This window comes from Homo sapiens, chromosome 7 (assembly GCF_000001405.40).
Source record: "Homo sapiens chromosome 7, GRCh38.p14 Primary Assembly".
NCBI classification, from domain to species: domain Eukaryota; kingdom Metazoa; phylum Chordata; class Mammalia; order Primates; family Hominidae; genus Homo; species Homo sapiens.
Window position 1 is genome coordinate 128732692 of NC_000007.14, and position 23101 is coordinate 128755792.

The following is a 23101-nucleotide window of genomic DNA, read 5'->3' on the forward strand; positions in this document are numbered from 1 at the left end:
CCTTCCAGCAATGCTTTTTCCACCCTCCTCGACCACTGTCTCCCTTGATTTTACCCTAGTGTTTGTCATTAATAACTGCACCTAACCCCATTATTTCCACTCCCTAGCTATAACACCTCCTATTTTTTCCTGAGTCCAATAATCCATTGACCCACCAATCCTACAATCTATTGCTTCTACCAGGTTTTCACTGTTCCTCGCTCTCTTCATGTTCTCATTTCCTTCCCCTGTAACCTAGATTATCTGTGATCAGTCATTATTATTATCACTTCCTGGCATGCATTCTCAACATCTTTGTGACTCTCTCACTTTCTTCCCTTGGCTAAATTCAGTTCTCTACCAGCTCCATGCCTGTGTGATGCTGCTGAACTTGCCACTGAACCTCTCTGGAGAAGATCACATGACATACTAACCAGTCTCCCTGCAAAGTCATCATCATGGCCTCAAGGGGGTCCTTGATGTTGCCTGGAAATCATCATGTGTTCTCCTAAATCTGTTCACTCTGCTGAATGGCTATTTCACACCTCTCTCCTCTAACTGCCAATGCCTCCTCCTGATGACCCTGCTTCCTATTTCACTGAGAACATAGTCAGAATTGAAAGAGAATTTCAGGCTCTCACCACCATATCTACCAATTACCTAGATCCAGACCCATTGACTCTAGCTTCTCTCTTTGTTACTATGGAGGAACTGTCTCTCCAAGCAGAGTCCAGCTCTTCCCCTTTTGTAGTAGATCCCATTCCATCTCACCCAAATATGTCACACCAGCAACTTTTCCTTTTTCCTACGTCATCAGTTTGATCTCTACTTCCAGATCCTTCCCATCAGCAACGAACATACTGGCATGCCTCCTAAACATACTTATTTCTTACAATAAAAACAGAACAAAATAAAACAAAACCTCTCTTGGCCCCTCTGCCTCCTTGCTCCAGTTTTCTCCACCCCTTTACAGAAAACTCCATGAAAGGGAACCAACTTTTAAAAATCTCCATTGTCTCTTGAAGTCCTTCAACCAGGTTTTTGCATTCACTACCTTGACAAACCTGTCAAAGATTCCCACACTGCTAAAGCCCATGGCCAACTGGGCCCCACCTCACTGTCAGCAGCATGCTTTCTCCCTGAACCTTTTCTTCACTTGGCTTCCAGGACACTCTCCTGGCTTTCCTTCTCCCTCATTGACCTTTTTCTCAGTTCCTTTGCTGATTCATTCTCATCAACACCCCCCAATCATATCTGAACATCAGAAATTCCCAGGATTCAGTCCTTAAGTCTCTTGTAATCAAAACACACAGATTTCATGCCACAAATATACTCGTAAATTTATATATTTAGTCCAGACCACCATGTACTCGAGATACATATCCAACTGCCTAGTCGATATCTCTACTTGAATGTCTAATATGTATCTCAACATGCCCAAAACAAATCTCTCAATATTATCCCTCAAATTAGCTGGGTGTGGTGGTGCATGCCTGTAATCCCAGCTACTCGGGAGGCTGAGCCAGGAGAATCACTAGAACCCAGGAGGCAGAGGTTGCAGTGAGCTGAGATCACACCACTGTACTACAGCCTGGGCGACAGAGCGAGACTCTGTCTCAGAAAAAAAAAAAAATTATCCCTCAAAACTTTGTTCTCTCTAAAGTCTTCTCCATCCTAATAAGCAGAAGCCTCATTTTTCTACTTGCTCAAAACCCTGGAGTCATCCTTAACTCCTCTCTTTCTCTCCACCCTATTTCCAACCCATTAGGAAATCCTTTCAAACTACTTTCAAAATATATTCAGAATTTGATATTCTCACTACTTCCACTGCTACCAACCTGGACCAAACCATCATCATCACTCACCTGGATTGTTGCAAACACCTCCTAAATGCACTCCGTTCCTAACCTTACTCCCTTTCAGTCTAATGTGATCCTTTAAAAATCTTAGATCATGTTTCTTCTCTGCTCAAAACCTTCCAATGGTTTCCCTTCTGTATTAGTTAAGGCAATGCTAGCTCTGAAAGAGATAAATCCTAATATATCAATGGCATAAAATAGCTAATAGAAGTTCTACTTCTCATTCACAAAGAGTCCAAAAATGGTGTTCCTGGTTCAAAAACTGAGTGGCAGTTTCACAGGAACCTGGGCTTCTTCCATCTTGTGGCTCTGCCATCTGCAATACACAGCTTCTAGCCACAGAAAGAGAATGAGCTTGGAGAATTACACATGGCAGGTCTGTATGGCCAGTACTGGAAGTAGTGTACAACATCTCCACCCTCCTTCCTTCAGTCAGAGCTCAGTCATATGACCATACTGGAAGGGAGGCTGGGAAATGTAGTCTAGCTGGGTTCACAGAAAGAAGAAGAAACAATTTAGCAAATAGTCAGTCTTCATATCCTCTCACTCATCATAGCGAAAGCTAAAGTCCTTGCAATAGCCTAAAGGCCCTACATGGTGTCCCTCTCTCCCTCCCTCATTCCTGTTGCTCCCTCTCTGACCTCATGTCCTCTACTCTCCTTGCTACTGTACTGCAGTCCCACTGGCTTCCAGTTGCTCCTCAAACACTTCAAACATACTCCCAACTCAGGGCCTTGCCTTGGTGTTCCCTTTTCCTGGAATGTTCACCACCTTCAGATGTTCACTCACGTGTCACCCTCTCATGAGCTTCCCTGGCCACCTTTTCTGAGATGGCAACGCCACTCCTGATAGTCCCAACACTCACTGTTCTCCTTTCCTGCCTTATTTTTCTCCTTATGTAAGCAGACAGAGAGGGTCTGTATTAGTCCATTCTTGTATTGCTATAAAGAAATACCTGAGACTGGGTAATTTACAAAGAAAAGAGATTTAATTGGCTCAGAGTTCTGCAGCTGTACAGGAAGCACAGTGGCTTCTGCTTCTTGGGAGGCCTCAGGGAAATTATGGCGGAAGGCAATGGGGAAGCAGATACGTCTTGCATGGCTGGAGCAGGAGGAAGGGGCGGGGGAGGTGCCACAGACTTTAAATGAACAGATCTCATTAGAAATCACTCACTATACAGTACCAAGCGGGGATGGTGCTAAACCATTCATGAGAACTCCGCCCCATGATCCATTCACCTCCCACCAGGCCCCTCCTCCAATACTAGGGTTTACAACACAGATCCAAACCATATCAGGGTCTCCAGGGATAAAAGGAATTCAATCAACTCGAGCAATCAGCCTGTTTTACAGCCTTCTGCCCTGCAGCCTGTTCTTCCCCAAACCCTGCATGGAATGTGGTCACCTTGTTGGTTTGAACCAGCTCCTTGCAGACCCTGGCAATTTATAGATGAACTGAGTCAACTTTTCCCTTGACCATGCCAAAGTCTCCACCCTAGGAGGAGCTATAGCTTCGTTGCCATAACATGCCACCTATGTTCTGGCATAATGACTCACTCGTTTGTGCCACTGGGACCCCTCCTCTACATGTGATTTTGCACTCTCTCCATCACCCTGTAAAACCCTCCTGTCACTTTCCCCTGGGGAGACACTGCTTTAGAGAACATTCCCAGTATCCTTCTTACATATGCCAAGTAATAAAACTGCTATTGATCACAAACTGCGTTTTGCATTGTTTGTTACTCACTAAGCGAACAAACCCTGGTTTTTCAGGTAACAGCACCTGTCACCACCTCTCATTCTATGTATGTTGCTTTTTTGTCTTGTTTATGGGCTGTCTCACCTACCTCTACACACCAGAGTATAAGCACCGTGACAGACTTAATTTTGTTCACTGTTGTATCCCCAGTTCCTAGAACAGTGTCTGCACACAGGAAACATTGAAAGTTCAGTAGCACCCATGAGCAGAGATGGGAAGCTTGGAGATGAATGTCAGCCTTTTATGGTGACACCATCATGCCGGCCCCAAGCAGTCCTTCAGTGCTGCTCTCACTCGATGGCCTCGGGTGCAGCTATTGGCGGCATTTCTAATATGTGTTGTCCCTCAGGTCCTTTTCTTCCTTCCTCCACCTACTTTCTAACTCTGGGGCTCCCATGAGGCCTAATCTGCTTTCGTCTCCTCAAAAAGTTTATCTGTTCTCATGGCTCCATCAGCCATCTGCTAGCCAACAACCCCTCCCAAATATCTCCTCCAGGCTCTTGGCTCTTTCTCTTTGGCTATTCCGCCATCACATAGACTTCCTATGTCTTGAACTCAATTGACTTCCCTCATTCCATGCACCTAGCTCATTCTCCTAGTCTCCCATGATTAAACCTTTTAACTTTTGAGTGCTCCTTCTTCATTTCTTTCATTCGAGTGGTCACTAAGCTCAGGACTTATTTCCACTTTTAAAATCTCTCTTGTGGCTGGGCACCGTGGCTCATGCCTGTAATCCCAGCACTTTGGGAGGCCGAGGCAGGCGGATCACTAGAGGTCAGGAGTTCGACATTGGCCTGACCAACATGGTGAAACCTTGTCTCTACTAAAAATACAAAAATTAGCCAGGCGTGGTGGCACATGCCTGTAATCCCAGTTACTTGGGAGGCTGAGGCAGGAGAATCACTTGAACCTAGGAGGCGGAGGTGCAGTGAGCCAAGGTCGCACCATTGCACTACAGCCTGGGCGACAAAAGCAAAACTCCATCTCAAAAAAAAAGAAAAACAAAACAAAACAAACAAACAAAAAAACTCTTGTATATAAAGGTTCATTTCCATTTCCCTTTCCCTTGCTAGGCCAGGCCCTTCTCCATTAGGGAACCTCAGGGTTGGAGGGCCCTATCTCTGGCACCCTCACTACCTGTTTAGCCTTTACTAGGACAATTCCAGGATGGATGGCGCACCATTAAGCTGAGTTCCTTGAGGACAGGGACGATGTCCTGTTTACTTTGGGTTCACCAGCACATAACACAGTGCCTGACCTTAAGGAGTTGTTATTTTTATTTTTTAAGAGAAAGGGTCTTGCTCTGTTGCCCAGGCTGGAGTGAAGTGGTACAGTCATAGTTCATTGCAGCCTCAACCTCCTGGGCTCAAGCAACTAGCTTGAACTACATGTGTGTGCCACCACACCCAGCTAATTTTTAGTTTTTGTTTTTTTGTAGAGATAGGGGGAGGAAGGGTCTCGTTATTTTGCCCAGGCTGGTCTCAAACTCCTGGCCTCAAGTGATCCTTAAGGAGGTATTTTAAAAACTGTTTTCGAAATAATGCCTCCTGAGGTAGCCTGTTTTATTGTTAATACCCATTAGATGGCTTCCCTGTAGGCACAAGCTTAGAAACTTTCCCAGGAAGACCCACAGTTCCCACTGTCTTCAGTTCAGGTTCCTCAAATTGACAAGATCTTCCATTACCTCTCCAAACTTACTATCCATGCTTTTCTTTCATTGTTTCCCCCCACCCCTTTTTTTAACCTTCCTCATTTGCTACCTGGCCTGAGAATTTACCTCCCACTCTGCCCTCCACTTGTCCTTATTCCTATTACTCTTCTTGCTGAATAGTCCATTTGGGACTTCCTTAGTCCAGCCTTAGTCATATCTTCCTCTGAAGCCTTCCCTGACTACCACCAAGGGTCACTGACACTCCTTTGAATGCCAGAAGGATTAGTTGTAAACCTTTCACGTTGACAGTAACTAGCTTGCTTTCATGAGCTTAACTGTTTCATGAGTTTACAACTTGTCTCAATTTGATTTTAAACTACAGAGGCTTTATGTGCTAAGAATGCCACAGGTTTACATTCCATTTGTGTTGAAGCTATAGTAGCCTTTATTTGATATTTGTTTTAATTTCATGACATGAAATTAAATTTTCAGGGACATGCAACGGGTTCGGCCCATTCCCTTCACTTAACATTACTGAGCTGGGCAGTAAGCTCAGAGTTGCAGATATAAAGATGAATAGACAGATACCTACCCAGGAGCTTACTCTAGAAGAGGACAGATGGATAAGCTACATTTTATAGCAGAATTTGGCAAAGTGTACTGAAGCTATAAACAGCTATGATGGTAAATAAGGTAAGAATTATGCTTAGTGAGGTCAGGGAAGGCTTCTAGAGCTAACATCTGAACTGGGACTTCTATTGGCAAGGCAGAAAATCAGGAAAACGCACTTATTCCTGGCAGAGGAAGCCTCTTGATCAAAAATCTTAAGAGATGAAAAAGGACCGGTTGTTAGGAAACAGATGATGGTGCCCAGAGCGCAAGATGAGGGGGAGTGTTGGGAGATGGAGCTAAAAGATACACTGGTGCCAAAGACTGAAGAGCCTCCTGTAGATAGCGCAGGGCGCAGCGCTGAAGGGAAAGAAAAAGTTGGGATTGTTCAATAAAGTTGGTGACTGATTCAGTCGGATTAATTCCGCCCTGGTGGTCTTGTGGGAATGAAGATAACTAGCAGGATAGTCTAAGAAGCCCTGTGGAAGCAGAGTCATGAGCTGTGAATGGGGACGTGGCGGCCACACGGCCGCGCCCACGCCACCCGCAGTACGGGGCTGGGGCTGGGGCTGGGGCTGGAGCCCGCCGTCCCAACAATCCCGGGGACGAGAGTTGGGCGGGAATCCGCTCCACGCAACTCGGCGCGGTCCCGGGGACGTGGCGCTTTCCAGCCAATCCCGGCTATGCGATTGTTAGACCAATGGCTACTCGGGGACGCTATGCGACAGCGGCGGGTTTGCTGATGATTGGTCGGGAGGCCGCCGGCGAGGCGGATGAGGGCGGGGTGCGGACCCGCTTCCGGTTGGGCGGTGCTTGCGCGCGTGAGCTGAGCCGGTGGGTGAGCGGCGGCCACGGCATCCTGTGCTGTGGGGGCTACGAGGAAAGGTAAGTACGGTGATGCCCAGCCCCTTCACCACTGCCTCATCTTTATTCGCTTTCTTTCTGTCCCCGGTCTTGTTCTTGGCGCGGCAGGGGACTGCCTCACTCGGTGCCGCTGTCTCTGCTGGCGCCCGGGTCCCAGGCCTGATGCTGCTGGAGATCCCGGGACCCTCTGTGTGCAGCCTGGGATGGAGGCCGCCGCCCGTCTTACCGCGCGCTCTGGGAAGGGGGCTGGTCCGGTGGAACTCTGTCCCGTTGGGTACTGTTCTGTGCCTGGTTTGCTGCGTCCTGGTCCTCCATCTCTAGGTCACGCCACTCACCGAGTCTCTGGCACCAGAGGGTCATTTTTTGCCTCCGGAAGGTCGGAGGGCATTTGGATAGTGTTATTGTAAGAGTTCCTTGCCGCCTCCACTCACCATCCTGCTTGTATCTGCCAGCTCCGCCCCAAGGCCACATCCCGACAGTAGGGTGCATCTGCCAAGGTCGTGTTCACTCACCTAAAGGGTGCAGAAACAAGGGGGGAGAGAACGAGTGACGACACTAGGTGATATCTATGATTTTAAAGAAAAGCTGAATGTTTAGAGCTTCCATATTTGGCTACGTACTTCAGTTAGCGACGGAAAATAGTTTTTAAAGCTTTATTGGGGAATTAATTTTTGTTACGTTTTTTGTTGCTTCTAGCCCCATATCCTACTGATTTTTAGCATGCTGCGGTCAGAAATAAACTTAATTCCCTATAGCTGCCGCGATTAAGCGTAGAGTGGCTTGCAGTTTCAAAAGCTGCTTTTGCATCAAGGCCCAAGCTCCGTGGGTCTCCTGCTAAAACTTTTGAGCCTGTGATCTGAATTCCTAAGTGTATAAAATTCTAGAATAGTGTCTTCGAGAATTGAGTTGCGTTCATTTTCTGGTGTGGACCATGAAGTCAACGTTAATGAATTGGGAATAAGGTGGCTTCTAGTTGTTTTTTGTTCTAGTAGCTTATTCAGCTTGGAGGCAGAGAACCTTGGAATCTCTGTTAAATTAGTCTGCCATAGAATGGAACTTGACACAAGACAAATGCAAGTTTGACCTCACTCAGTAGATTTAATTAACCAAATACCAAACGACAGTAATCACTGAAGAATTTATATAGTATAATCCAAATGAGGGACCAGATATAACCTCTAAGTTGTATTTGTCAAGAAAATGAGTTTGCCAAGACCTAATCTGAGGTTTTACTGTGATTGGGGGGTGGGGGGGTTCCAATAGGATTCTTTTGAGAATCACAAGTAGGAAAGCCATGAGCTCACAAAAATGTATTGAGTATGCCTGAGTGAATAGTACTCAATATAGCTTTGAAACCAACTCATTGTCACTCTCAATGTAATCATTGTTTGTTTTCATTCATCCAGTGATGTGTCAAGAAGTACTTATTGATAGCACTTAATATCCATTAGAGCAGTATTGGGATCTATATATTGGTGTTATTTTTTAAAATTTATTTATTTTAGAGTTGAGGGTCTCAGTATGTTGACCAGGTGGAGCCTTGAACTCCCATGCTCAAGCAGTCCTCCTGCCTCAGCCTCCCAAGTAGCTGAGACTAGAGGTATATAACACCACACCCTAGTACATTGGTGTTAACACAGATTTTCTGTAACGTAGGTATACCAGGGATATTGAAAGGACAGAGGTGTAGCCAAGGATAGCCACTGGAAATGCTAGCTAGGCCACAAGGCCCTAGATTCTCACTCTCTGAACTCTTAAGTATGGATGTTGCTGATGCAGTAATTTATGTATTAGAGTTAAGACAGCTGAAATAACACTTTTGCCTGTTCCTGGCTGATTGCCAGATCCAGTAAACGGAATTGGAAGTTGGAGAACACAGGCAGGCAGGAACCACATTGCTGCCAAGTACCGCCCAATTAATTCAGTAAGATGTATTAATCCAGTAAAATGTATTGGTATCAAAAAAGTGCAAGACAATGTATTAGGGACAATATAGGGGTAATAATTTGTATTAGAATGATATGTAGACATTCTTCCAGAAATGTCGATTCTAAAGGGGAGCTAAGGAGACAACTTAAGGTAACCTATGGTCATTGTTTTTGAGTGGTTCAGACGAGTTTTATAGAAGTTTAGATTGGATCATACCCTTTTTGTCCAAAAAGAGAAAAAGATAACAGATCACTTCCAGCTAGAGTGATCATAGTAGGTAGGTCTTCTAGGATCTTAAATTTATTTATAGACATCTGGCACTGAAGGAAGTTTGAGCTAAAATAACTACCAAATTCTCAACAGTGTCACGCATGTTACACATGCACAGCAAAATTACAACTAGAAACCAAGGCTCCTATCCCTACATTTCAAATAGCATTTCTCTCACAATTGATTATGTATTAAGGCTTGTCAACGAAAAGGAAACTTTTTTCTCTCAGAATTTCTAGAACTTTTTTCTTTAAAAAGTTTTTTATTCTGTAGCCAGAAAAATTTAAAGTTTGTGCTGGGTTGCTTTGGTTATAGAACTAATGAAGCTTGAGTAATAGTTTCAGACATTCTCAGGGTTTTTCTTCTGCAGCCAGATTTTACACTTCTATTATCTCAGCTGTCTTATAAATGTATTCCCTCCATCACACAATATAATTAGAATGTATTGATGAACAGATGTAACTTCATCACTAGAGAGACGTTAAATAAATTATGTGTTGGTATCATGACTTTTATCAAATCATGAAGGATGCCATCACTTTTATGTGATAGTCCATTGGTATAGTACTAAAGTTTGTAAGTAAAGAATGTCAGATAGATAACAAGATAACTTCATTTTCGAGATCTCATAACCTGGGCCTTAGTATAGTTAAATTGCTATCAGTCTGTTCCCTGTAATCTCCAATTGAAGTAGACAGTTAAACAATGAGATCCTGCTTTTGCTGCGTTATGGAGAAATAAATGCCTTTTCTGGTGAATATCCATCCAGCTCAGAGAACTGGAATTTTACTACCACACCCATTTCTCCCAATTGTTAACATTGAGCAATGGGTCTTTGGTCAACCATAATAACTGTTGGATCACTCAGTGTTAACGTTCTTGTGAAGTTGAATTTAAACATCTAAATTTCCCTGAAACAATTTAAGTATTCTGTGACCAATGGCACTTTACCAAAATTGAAAGTTTGGGCCATGTATTGCTCGCAATACTGGTCCAATGGATACACTATGGACACTAAGGACAAAAACTTCCTTGAAAGCTCTAAGTTCTTACCTGAAGGGTGGGGTAGGGAGAAGTGATAAGAATTTAGAGCTTTTAAGGACATTTTTGGATGGATCGAAGAAACCAATTCTTAAGACTCATTATTATTAAAATCACACTTAACCCAGTTAGGCTTTTCTCTTTATAAATTACTGGAACGATTCATGAAAACAACTTTATAGAAGACCATTATTGGTGACATACTAATACTACAAAAGGATGATAGCTACTGGATATATTTTCTGTTCTAATCTTTTGGTTTGTGTCTAACATGCTGTCCAATAAAAATATAATACAAGCCACATATGTAATTTTAAATTTTCAGGTGAAAATCTAAAACAGGTGAAAGTAATTTTAATAATGTTTAATCTAATACATATAAAATACCATTCTTTCAATATGAAATGTAACACTTATACCAATCGCAATTCACACTAGCCACATTTCAAGTGCTTAGTAGTCACATGTGGCTAGTGGCTACTGTACTGGGCAGTACAGGCCTAGATTTTTTTTTTTTCCCAAGAAAAAAATATTAGATGTTACCCTTCGTGGAAGAGGGACAGAATTTTAGAGAGAGAAACTCATTTGAGAAATGGGAGGTGGGGAAATTCAGTTTTCACAACCATTGGTTTACTTTCTAGATCACATGATAAAAGCTCATACAGCTAAGTCTTTTGTTTATGTGTATCATATTTTTCCTAATATTATGTTGTCCATTATGTCCATAGTATATCCATTGGACCAGTATTGTGATCAGTATGTATGGCCCAATGGATACACAAAGATCTTTCCAGCTGGAAGTGATCTGTACCTATTCCTCTAAACTTTTTTTTTACTTTTTGGACAAAAGTATCCAATTTAAACTTTTTTTTTTCTTTTTCTTTTTTTGAGACAGGGTCTTGTTCCCTCACCAAGGCTGGAGTGTGGTGGCATGATCATGACTCACTGTAACCTCGTGTCTCCGGGGCTCAGGCGATCCTCCCACTTCAGCTTCCCCGGTAGCTGGGACTATAGCTGCGCCACCACACCCAGCTAATTTTTTGTATTTTTGGTGGAGATGGGATTGCCTAGGCTGGTCTTGAACACCAGCATTCCATCCGCCTTGGCCCTCCAAAGTGCTGGGATTACAGGCTTGAGCCACTGCTGCTGGCCCAGTCTAAACTTTTATAAAGTGTTGAAGTGGGTGAGGAAAATGAGAAGGGCCATTAACTTTGTATCATTTGGTTTCAATTTGGTTGAAAAGACAAAGATGCTTCAGAAATGAAGTGTACTGGCTGGTCATGGTAGCTCACACCTGTAATCCCGACACTTTGGGAGGCCGAGACGGGAGAATCACTTGAGGTCAGGAGTTTGAGACCAACCTGGACAACATGGTGAAACCCTGTATCTACTAAAAATACAAAAATTATTCGGGCGTGGTAGACCATGCCTGTAATCCCAGCTATTGAGGAGGCTGAGGCAGGAGAATCACTTGAACCCAGGAGGTGGAGGTTGCAGTGAGCCAAGATCACACCACTGCACTCCATCCTGGGCAACAGAGACAGACTCAGTCTCAACAAAAGAAAACGAAGTGCACTAAAGTAGATTTTCAAATGCTGTGTATGAAGTTATTTTTTACTGTTCCTTTCACATCTTCCCACGTAAGATATCCTTTGTCTTAGATGTCCTTTGTTTCTGCTTGAACATACATGCTCCATACCAAAAACCATATGGTTTTAGATAAATCTAGTACAGTTTTTGGTATGGATGGTGTTTTTTGTTTTTAGTGTCTATATTCATAAAACAAGAGGGCTTTGTTAAAGTTTCTAATAGCCAGGAGTTGTTATATATGTGGGCACAAAGGACGTTTTGTTTTTTTTTAAGTAGAACTTCTTTAAAGTGCAGATTTTTCATTCCTCCCTGCAGAAAGATAAAGAAGTAAAGATGGACCATTGGCTTTGTCCATCTGGGTCCTTGATGACCGTTGTAGGCAGTTTCATCAATAGTAAGGAAGCCAGGTTTCAGGGTAGCATTGGACAGTGAGGAAGCAGAGGCAGCAGGGTAGAAACTGTGGGTGAGGGAAAGGGAGGAGCAAGCATGAAGGAACAGCACAGTCTGGGAAAGACTGTGGGTAGTGGAGACCTGAGAAGCACTGATTGACAGAATGGAGGAGCCTGTTTAAGGGATGAGATTGAAAGTTTATTCAGGAGAGGGGAAGGAAGGAGAAATGGGTGAGTGATAAAGCTAAATCACTTGGCTTCTACTCTTTGGAATTCTGGTATCCTTGTATCAAGATATTAAGCCTGAAACATAAATGTAGTTTTCCCTCTAAATCACAGAGTAAACCAATCTATTACATTTCTGTATGCTACATGTCTCAAAACTTGGTACAGTATCCTTTCCAGGACCAGATTATGTTAGAGTGCATAAGTATTTATTCATATTGTAATATTTGGGGTTGGCAAGAATTGTTAGGGTATTATGCTATATTTTATTTTGAGAATGTAATCATTTGTAAAATTTTCCTAAAGATAAAGTCCCCTTAGGCATAAGGAAAATCCTTTGTTGCAGTGACTCTTGATTTTACTTGATTCTGCAAGCCTCTGTCACTATACATATTGTTGGGATATATCCCAAAACATCAACAACATATAATTCTGTTTTTTGTTTCCAAAGTTTTGTTTATCTAAAGAATTATTTGTTTATAGGCTGGGTATGGTGGCTTACGACTGTAATCCCAGCACTTTGGGAGGCCAGGGCTGGAGGATCGCTTGAGACCAGTCTGGGCAACATAGTGAGACTCTACAACATTTTTTTTTTTTTAATTTGCTGTGCATGGTGGTACACACTTGTATTCCCAGCTACTTGGGAGGCTGAAGTGGGAGGATGGTCTGAGCCCCAGAGGACCAGACTGCAGTGAGCTATCATCACACCACTATATCTAGCCTGGGTGACAGAGTAAGACCCTGTCTCAAAAAAAGAATTGTTTATAGTTTGAGATAGAAGTTTCATTTTGCCCTGAAGTAAAGGCATACTCACTTTAATGTTGTATTTATAGAGCCGCTAAATCTCGGATTTTCTGTTTACTCTTTAACTGATTTGATTGATCAGTTGAATTATTGGAGGGTCAGCCAGAGTGTTGTTCACCCAGAGCAATATTTTACAAGTGGTGCACACAGAAAGCTAATAAACATGAGAGTGTGCTGTTCATACAAATTAGACAGTACAGCAGGATACAGTATTAAAGTTCACTTTCACACCAATCTTACCAGCCCACCCCATTCCTGTCTCTTCTCCCATGAACCTTGAGGTTACCACTGTTTACACATGGGTATTTGTCTTTGCACACCATTTATGTGCATGTTATATTTTATACAAATAAAAACAAGCTGGGGAGATTGTTTAATTTTGTTTTGCTTTTTATGTAAATGAGATCTTGACGTTGTTTTGAACCTTGCTTTTTTTGTTCACTTGACATATCTTGGTGAATTTTCCATTTCACTGCAGATAGATGCATCTCGTTCTTTTTTTTTTTTTACATTCTTTTTTTTGAGGAAGGGTCTCGCTCTGTCACTGAAGTGCAGTGGTGAGATCTCAGCTCACTGCAGCCTCTGCCTCCCGGGTTCCAGTACTTCTCGTGCCTCAGCCTCCTGAGTAGCTGGGACTACAGGCGTGTGCCACCACACCCAGCTAAGTTTTGTATTTTTAGTAGAGACAGGGTTTCACCGTATTTCCCAGGGTGGTCTCGAACTCCTGACCTCAAGTGATCCTCCCGCCTCGGCCTCCCAAAGTGCTGGGATTACAGGCATGAGCCACCATGCCTGGCTGCTTTTTTTATTTTTTTTGAGATAGGATCTCTGTCACCCACGCTGGAGTGCAGTGGTACAATCTCAGCTAACTGCAACCTCCACCTGGTGGGTTCAAGCTATCCTCCCACCTCAGCCTCCTGAGTAGCTGAGACTACAGGTGTATGCCACCATGCCCAGCTAATTTTTGTATTTTTAGTAGAGACAGTGTTTCGCTATCACCCAGGCTTGTCTTAAACTCCCGGATGCAAGTGATCCGCCTGCATTAGCCTCCCAAAGTCTTGGGATTACAGGCGTGAACCACCACCCCCGGCCTCATGTCATTCTTTTTTTTTTTTTTTTTTTTTTTTGAGACGGAGTCTCACTCTGTAGCCCAGGCTGGAGTGTAGAGGTGCTATCTCGGCTCACTGCAAGCTCTGCCTCCTGGGTTCACGCCATTCTCCTGCCACAGCCTCCCAAGTAGCTGGGACTACAGGCACCCACCACCACGCCCGGCTAATTTTTTGTATTTGTAGTAGAGACGGGGTTTTACCGTGTTAGCCAGGATGATCTCGATCTCCTGACCTTGTGATCCACCCGCCTCGGCCTCCCAGTGTGCTGGGATTACAAGCATGAGCCACTGCGCCCGGCCCATTCTTTTTAACCTTTGTGTATTTTTCCATAATCGAGATTTAATATATTTTACCAATTCTCTGTTTTTATTTGTTTTCCGATTTTTTAATCATTGTGAACTGTCATCATTGAACATCTTAATACAAGTATCTTTGTCTGTAAATGTGGGTATTTTGATGGGATTGAATGAAACAATGTTGAGAAACATAGCCAAGTTCTAACATTGATAGGAATAGAGTAATAAGTACCATCTTCTACCCATTTCTCTATGGGTTTCATGGTCTTGCTTTCACATTGCTTCTTCTGATGGATTTTCCTAAGTCTTAACCTTCACGTCATCAGTAACAGTACCTTATTTGAGACTGGGGCACTTGGGAATGACTGCCCCCCAACCCCCGCCCCCATTATCTCCTTAGGTACTTTTCTGTTTGTCTTACTGTGTTGTCGTATTTACTCTAGAACACTTTCCACTCTCTACTGATATGTCCTCCTCTGCCATTTCAGGACCTCCCACCCTCCCCCACTGAGCTGCCTTCCCAGTGATGAAAGAAAAAATGTAAAAGCCTGAAAACCCTTCTTCTTGATTTTTAATTTTTTTTTTTCCCTCTAAGACCTTAACCACTCTGGATAGTATCACGGGGTATCAGTAGAGTGTGCTAAACAGATGTGTACTCTGCAGCTTCTTTGCAGGTTTTTTGTCACATTTTTCAGTCAAGTGTTCCAGCTTTGTGCTTGTTCATTAGAGTCACCTGTGACTACAGAGATTCTGAAAGTTTGAATCAGGGCCTGGGAATCTGTACTTTGAACAGTACTACAGGTGGTATTTATGCCTAGGCAAGTATGGGAAACAACTGTGCAGAAGGATAAAGACGTTCTTATCTATGACTAGACCATCTGAATGATTTGGCCTTTGAAGGTGACTCAAGGTTGAGCCTGGATGTTGGAGACTTGGTGCTATAGACCAAGGAAGCTGCCAAGTATTTCGCTGGTTCCTAATCTCATGAACATCAGAATCACCTGAAAAACATTTAAAGCTACGAATGTCTGAATTCAGCTTCAGAGACTCTAAATCAATAGGAGAAACTTAAAGCTTCCTAGATGATTCTAATAACCAGCCATGTTTGAAGACCAGACCACCAATGCGTACAAGAAGTAAAGGATTTGGAGTCAACATTTAAACCTTGGTTCTTTCACTTTTAATTCTTATGAACTTGGGCAAAAGGATTAAAATTCTACTTTGGTATCTTTTGAAAGAAAACAGAAAGTGGACATTTTAACTATAAGTTTCTTATCAGCCTACAATCAGATGAAGGAAACTGGTAAAAATTTCTCACTGTAATAATTGAAGAGTCTGATATTCCACCATACTTATTTTATGGATGAAGTAATATTTGGGATAATATAAAAGACTTGCATAGATATGTATATCAAATTAATAGTTTAACTCGGATGTGAGCTTTTAATTTCTTATTTAGTTATTAAGCATACTGCCTCCTGAATTAACTGCTTTTCATTTTCTTCAAGATCTAATTATCATGGACCTGCGACAGTTTCTTATGTGCCTGTCCCTGTGCACAGCCTTTGCCTTGAGCAAACCCACAGAAAAGAAGGACCGTGTACATCATGAGCCTCAGCTCAGTGACAAGGTTCACAATGATGCTCAGAGTTTTGATTATGACCATGATGCCTTCTTGGGTGCTGAAGAAGCAAAGACCTTTGATCAGCTGACACCAGAAGAGAGCAAGGAAAGGCTTGGGTAAGGTACCACCTCTCAGGGGTCTAGTGTGGGTAATGACATTCTTTATAAAGGCTAATTCTTTTCTTTTCTGGCTCAGTTATGAGTAAAGTTATATTGAACTATTAATACATCTTCTGAAAGCTAACCATGGAATTACTACCTCTAAAATTTCATTAAATGCCTGATTTCATACATTTTTAATTGAATAACAGTTGGTGCCTCATTCTACAAAGCATCATTTTTGCATAAAAGTACCAAGTACTGCAAGACCCAACTTGAACTGCATTATCTTGCTACCAGAAGAACATAGCATGGGGGGATTTCTCATCTCTTCTCATCTCTACTGCTTTTAATTTTTAAAAACTATCTGTGCCCTACTGACCTGGCACAAGCCAAGTCTTTGATGGGCTAATAAACGGCACATTGGATCCCTATAAAGTTTATGATTTCCCGAGGTGTCCTTCACCCTCTTTATTTTCATTCTCAGATATTTGTTTAATTAAAAAACAAAAATCAAACCAACTTTGTCTTTTAGAAAATTGTAACTTAATGTCTGAGTATGAGTTACTGTTTCAGTAACAGCAGGGCCATAGTCAGGTTCTTTGGCTCTCTCGGTAGACATCTTTTGTCCTGAAAAATGGATTTGGTAGAATCCCAGTTGATTATTTCTAATTGGGGATCTGAGAATGTCTTTTTTGGTCCTTCCAAAGCCTTCCTTTTGAAGAAAATGCAGGTCAATTTTGTAAAAATATTCTTCTCAGTGAGCACTGTTGGTGCAACTTCCTGATTGTATTCAAGAGATTTGTGTGGAAAGTTGTGCCACACATAGCAATTTCTAAAAATATTTTGCCTTGATGGGTAGCATTTTGATCATAAGACGTTGTAGGATTTGCTTTGGAAGATGCTGCAGAATAGATGTATTTTTTCATTGGGTTATCTACTGACTGAAGGGTACAATGTTTTATTTTTCAACATTGACAGAAATAATAAAGATATTTTGCTATGTAGAATGAGCACTGTCACATAGCATTTGAAAGTAGATAGATATGCATCACAGAGTTAGTTTTCTATTAGGTTGCTTTCCTTTGGGAGACCATCCTCACTTTCAGTTTTAATCTAATAACTGTACTAACATTCCAGGCTGAAAATAGAAATGCAGATCAGGTACGGTGGCTCACGCCTGTAATCCCAGCACCTTGGGAGGCTGAGGCGGTTGGATCACGAGGTCAGGAGATCGAGACCATCCTGGCTAACACTGTGAAACCCCATCTCTACTAAAAATACAAAAAAAATTAGCCGGGCGTGGTGGCGCGTGCCTGTAGTCCCAGCTACTTGGGAGGCTGAGGCAGGAGAATGGCGTGAACCCGGGAGGTGGAGCTTGTAGTGAGCCGAGATCACGCCACTGCACTCCAGCCTGGGCAACAGAGCCATCTCAAAAAAAAAAAAAAAAAAAAGAAAATAGAAATGCAGAGGGTATTCTAAGTCTTCATGTCATGCCCATTAATATTGTGCACGTCCAACCCACATTTTGGTCTGCACATATTTTTTCACAGAATTAACTCTAAAATAATGAAAGGCCCTTAGGTTTGGTATCATTTAGGGTAGATGGTACTATAATGAGGATGTTCTGGCTCCTTGCAGGTAGGGAGAAAGCTCTGCTGGCACTTTTCAGTTGAAAGTATTCCTTTTTGTGATCAGTGGATATTAAAAGTTTGTCACATATGCAGATTCTGTATTTGATTAGAATAAGATGATAAAATCATGTTTTTTATGGAATGTATGAATAGACTGTTTGCTTCTCCCAAATTTTGTTGGTAATGACAAATATCCCTACTTTATACAGTAACATACGGTTGGGAGCAAGAATCCCACATGAAACTTTTAAAAAACTTATTTACTGTGGCATTTCAAAACATTGTTTTGGTGGGGTAATGTATACCAGCTGGGAACAACAGGTTCCCTCTTTTTTCCATCTGTCTATATGGCACATAATTATTAAGAGATAAGTCATTGTTCATGCCTTTAGTTGCAAAAATTCACGACTTTTTGAAATCTTTAATAATAATAGCTAAAAGAACACAGGAAGCATTTTAAAACAATTCAATATACAAGTTTCAGGTATTTTTTCTTATTAAGAATGTTGACAAATAGGCGATTTTATGTATCCTTAAAATGAAGATTTGTTTTGAGGTAGTGGTTCTTAATATTAAAAAAGTTCTCTGGCTGGGCGCAATGGCTCATGCCTGTAATCCCAGCACTTTGGGAGGCCGAGGCAGGCAGTTTATGAGGTCAAGAGATCAAGACCATCCTGGCCAATATGGTGAAATCCCATCTCTACTAAAAATACAAACATTAGCTGGGCCTGGTGGCGCGTGCCTGTAGTCCCAGCTACTTGGGAGGCTGAGGCAGGAGAATTGCTTGAACCTGGGAGGCAGAGGTTGCAGTGAGCCAAGATCGCACCACTGCACTCCAGCCTGGCAACAAAGTGAGACTCCGTCTCAAAAAAAAAAAAAAAAAAATTCCTTGATATATTTACTATAGAAGTGAACTAGAGCAGTTCATTATCCTTTTGGGGATCACAGGCCCAGACCCTTTGGGAGTCTAATGAAAGCTAAGGACTTTTCCTCAGAAAAGTGCACACTTACATATACAATTTTGGGCTAGGCGCAATGGCTCATGGCTGTAATCCCAGCACTTTGAGAGGCTGAAGCAGGAGGATTGCTTGAGCTCAGGAGTTCGAGACCAGCCTGGGCAATATAGGGAGACCCTCTCTCTACAACAAATTAAAAAATCAGCTAGGCATGGTGGCATGTGCCTGTAGTCCCAGCTACTAAGGAGGTTGAGATGAGAGGATCCCTTCAGCCGGGAAGGGCAAGGCTACAGTGAGCTGTAATTGTACCACTGCCCTCCAGCCTGGGTGACAGAGCAAGACCCTATCTCAAAAAATAATAATAACAAAATAAGAAAATTTTGCACACTGAAAATTTCAGGAATATTAGTCACCCTTCTGGAGCCCATTTATTGATCCAAATTCTTAAACAACTGAAGGGTTTGCTTTATGCTCCTTGAAATGTAGAGGTATGTGCTACCTCCTAAAAGAAATAACATGAGGTGCACTAATGCACTGTGTCTGTCCTAGAATAAAGGCTTATTTAGTGGCGTCCATAGGGTTCTCCCCTGTCACAGGACTATGACACCATTAGCTTCATAAATTTACACAGGCATTTAAAGATGATAATTTAGAGCCTTATGCCTAAAATAGGATGTGCCCACTTCCAGTGTACTTACACAACTGCCTGCAGGCTTGGTGCTCAGCAAGATAAGAATGGCTTTTACATTTTCAGAGGCTTGTTAAAAAAAAAATACACACACACACACACCATACCATATGTTGCCCACAAAGTCAAAAATATTTACTATCTGTCCCTTTTTTAAAAAAGAAGTTTGCCTTGTAAACTATATTTCTGTTTAAGTAAAAAACAATAAATTTTTTTCTTAAGTTTGCCAACCCCTAGGTTAAACCATTTGAGTTGTTTGCATTGAATAGAATGCTCTTCAGTCAACTTAATTAAGAAAAGCCCACCTTGAACAGTCATATGTCTTTTTTTATCTGGGCGATCCTTCTCTTCAGGCTATTTATAATAGTTTAAAAATACCTTTTGGGGGTAGGAGGGGTTCTGGTTGCCCTTTTTCCTTGCCCTTTATTTCTGAACTGTACAGTGGCACTATTGGTAGCCAGTACCATTTGAGCACAAACTGCATTCCATTATAAATAATGTAGAACTTTTCAATATTGGTATAGCTTCATCTGTGAATAGTGTTAAAATTCTACAGGACTAAAGTTACAACAACAAAAATTGTCCTTATGTCTATGTAGATAGAAGAGGATATTTAAGAGATAACTACTTTTTTTTCTGAGACGAAGTCTTGCTCTGTCACCTGGGCTGGAGTGCAGTGGCGCGATCTCAACTCATTGCAACCGCCGCCTCCCAGGTTCAAGAGATTCTCCTGCCTCAGCCTCCTGAATAGCTGAGATTACAGGCATGCGCCACCATGCCCGGCTAATTTTTGTGTTTTTAGTAGAGACTGGGTTTCACCATGTTGGCCAGGCTGGTCTCGAATTCCTCACCTCCCGCCAGGTGATCTGCCCGCCTCGGCCTCCCAAAGTGCTGAGATTATAGGCGTGAGCCACCGTACCAGGCCAGAGATAACTTCTTACTGGTTTACCTTTCCTGTTAACATTTTAGAGCAAGATTACACATTCTCTGAAGGAAAATGCTAGTTACTTACAGGATTTAAGTAATAGTTGTATCTAACACCTGATCTGTATCAAAATGAGTCTCTTTTCTTAGAGTCACTAGTACTTTTCAATTCTGATCACTTTCCTATGTTGTATTCATGAAATGAACACAAGCTGGGGAAAGACATTATTTGCTACCAAGTGACAATCTTTTCAATCCTGCAAATAATAGAGCATAGGACTATACCAAGATTTCTCTTCTGTTGGAAGTTTTGACTTCAACTTCATATTCCAAACTGGGCTGCTTACTTGGGTGACATTACATAGGATGACTTTGCCCCTATAGTTAAGTGATTGCACCTTTAAACAGAAGTTTTCATATCATGGACATATTTTTAAATCCATAAGATGACAGATCTGGAAGAAAGACACTTATAAAGCTTCATAAAGCCACTGATTCTTTAGCTTTGTGGTTTTGCTTTATAATCTACATACTAACCCTTTCAGCTTATTAACATTCTTATAATCAGATATACATTCTTACCACATCATTTCCTCAGAGTTCTCTGTTTTCATGTAAAAATCCAATTCAACACAGTATTTAAAAGCTGCTAGCCATTTTTTAGACAAGCATCTTCCTGTCTTTTTATCTGTTTTTTAAAAATAATCTTGCCTTGAGATATAAATGATCCCAGAACTTTTCTGATATCTTTGTATTTTTATCAAAAGTGTTACTTTTTCTAAAATCAGCTAAATTTTTGAAGTCTGATGTAACTATTTTGAATTTTTAGAAAACCATGATTATTTACCAAGAATTGGAGTTTCTCTTCTGTAAGCAATAAAGAAAAATAAAGTTCAGCCACATCTTCGCTAGAGAAAATAAAAATGAAAACAAGGAAAAACAAAGTTTTACATGTTGTTTGATGCAAAGAGTGGAGAACTTGGATAGGAATGGATATTCACTCCTGAATTCTAACCATAGGCTGAAATCTACCTCCAAAGAGATAGGCTGAGTTTGCTTTTGGATCCAAGTGCACCAGCCATGACTGTGTTGACCTTATTCACGTGGCTTATTACAGACCAGTAATGGACCATTTTTTTCAGTTGCTGGCCTGGCAGTTTTGTTTTGGAGACAATTTTTTATTTCTGTGCATTAGCCCTGGGCACACACCTGGCTAAGTCCAGAGTTCTGTGTCTTTTTAACCTTTTGCTGGATTTCTCTGCATTTTCTACAGAAAGATTGTAAGTAAAATAGATGGCGACAAGGACGGGTTTGTCACTGTGGATGAGCTCAAAGACTGGATTAAATTTGCACAAAAGCGCTGGATTTACGAGGATGTAGAGCGACAGTGGAAGGGGCATGACCTCAATGAGGACGGCCTCGTTTCCTGGGAGGAGTATAAAAATGCCACCTACGGCTACGTTTTAGGTAGGTCCCTACTGTCTGGGGGAAAAAGCCTTGTGGAGCTGGCACCTTGAAACGTAACTGTTTTGTCTTGTAGAATGATTGTAGATAAAATAGACGCGGATAAAGATGGGTTTGTGACGGAGGGGGAGCTGAAATCCTGGATTAAGCACGCCCAGAAGAAATACATATATGACAATGTTGAAAACCAATGGCAGGAGTTTGATATGAATCAAGACGGCTTAATCTCCTGGGATGAGTACAGAAACGTGACTTATGGCACTTACCTGGGTAAGGGGCAAGATGTCAGCCTGGCAGGGACCGTGGTCTTGAGTCAAAGAAACAAATGGGTCACACAGTAAAGGAAAGGAAGCTTATCTTAAATAGTTCAATTCAGTGCTAAGCTGATTCCCTTTATTAATTTTAAATTTGTATATTATGTATTTTTAAATTTGTTTAATTTTTGTTTTCTGAAGTCTGGAAGTCTGGTATCTTCTACATTTTTAGCATTTTACATATATTTTACCATTTTTTCTTTATGTCATCCCTCATAGAGACAATTTTTGGAGTAGATTTCATTTAAAAGAATACATTGGGCTGGGTGCCGATAGCTCACGCCTATAAGCACTTTGGGATGCTGAGGCAGGAGGATTGCCTGGGCCCAGGAGTTTGAGACCAATCTGGGCAACATAGGGACACCCTGTCTCTACCAAAAAAAAAAAAAAAAATTTAAATTAGCCAAGCATGGTGGCACACACCTGTCCTAGATACTCAGGAGGCTAAGGTGGGAGGATCACTTAAGCCCAGGAGGTTGAGGCAGCTGCGAGCCATGATTGCACTGCTGCACACCAGCCTTGGGGACAGAGCGAGCTCTGTCCAAAAAAAAAAAAAAAAAAAAAAAAGAGGCTATGAGGCTACATACTTCCAACAGTGCAAAGCAAGGGGCTTTGAGATGTTTCTTGACATGGTCCCAGTAAAGTGTTGGACCTAAAATTCAAACCAAATTAGATTTCTTTATAACTGGTGAGAAGTCTTAATAAAATAGTTTTCCTTAATAAAATTTAACTATTTCAGTATGTCTGCTTACTGAAGTTTGGAAATGAAAATTTCCCATTTGTTTTCTCTGGCACATGAGTTTATCAGCCTGCTTTGCAAGTGCTTTAAGGCAAATAAATGTTAATTTGATTGCTTTTTGTTGATTTGATAGCTTGTATGCTTGGGCCACCTGTTAGTAATTTTCTTTTACTTGTAACACTTGCCTGCTGCTGAATACTAGGCAGTGAGTCTTATTGAGTTGATGATCCAGGGTGTTTTTATTTGTGAAATTCCTCTGTTGTACATGGTTACAGTTTAAGACAAGA

General features: G+C 41.7%; 1 protein-coding gene across 6 annotated transcripts in view, besides 3 other annotated features; it reads left to right on the forward strand.

Annotated features, from left to right (window-relative positions):
• Positions 6275–6414: a silencer, noted in NCBI's record as "silent region_18612". NCBI's record gives its function as "represses an Ori minimal core promoter by ATAC-STARR-seq in GM12878 lymphoblastoid cells {active_cell/tissue: GM12878}" and the evidence as "EXISTENCE:reporter gene assay evidence [ECO:0000049][PMID:35858748]".
• Positions 6485–6624: a silencer, noted in NCBI's record as "silent region_18613". NCBI's record gives its function as "represses an Ori minimal core promoter by ATAC-STARR-seq in GM12878 lymphoblastoid cells {active_cell/tissue: GM12878}" and the evidence as "EXISTENCE:reporter gene assay evidence [ECO:0000049][PMID:35858748]".
• CALU (calumenin) overlaps positions 6668–23101 on the forward strand; it is a 34042-nt gene continuing 17608 nt past the window's right edge. For 2 of the 6 annotated variants that reach the window (NM_001219.5, NM_001199673.2), the window contains exons 1-3: positions 6668–6741; positions 15882–16113; positions 21571–21764. In NM_001219.5, the coding sequence (NP_001210.1) occupies positions 15893–16113; positions 21571–21764 (415 nt within the window). In that variant the 5' untranslated portion in view covers positions 6668–6741; positions 15882–15892. Of the gene's footprint in view, positions 6742–14861; positions 15677–15881; positions 16114–21570; positions 21765–21837; positions 22032–23101 lie in introns of all 6 variants that reach the window. The other 4 variants (NM_001199671.2, NM_001199672.2, NM_001130674.3 and 1 more) reach the window with 4 other exon arrangements.
• Positions 6905–7004: an enhancer, noted in NCBI's record as "active region_26603". NCBI's record gives its function as "activates an Ori minimal core promoter by ATAC-STARR-seq in GM12878 lymphoblastoid cells {active_cell/tissue: GM12878}" and the evidence as "EXISTENCE:reporter gene assay evidence [ECO:0000049][PMID:35858748]".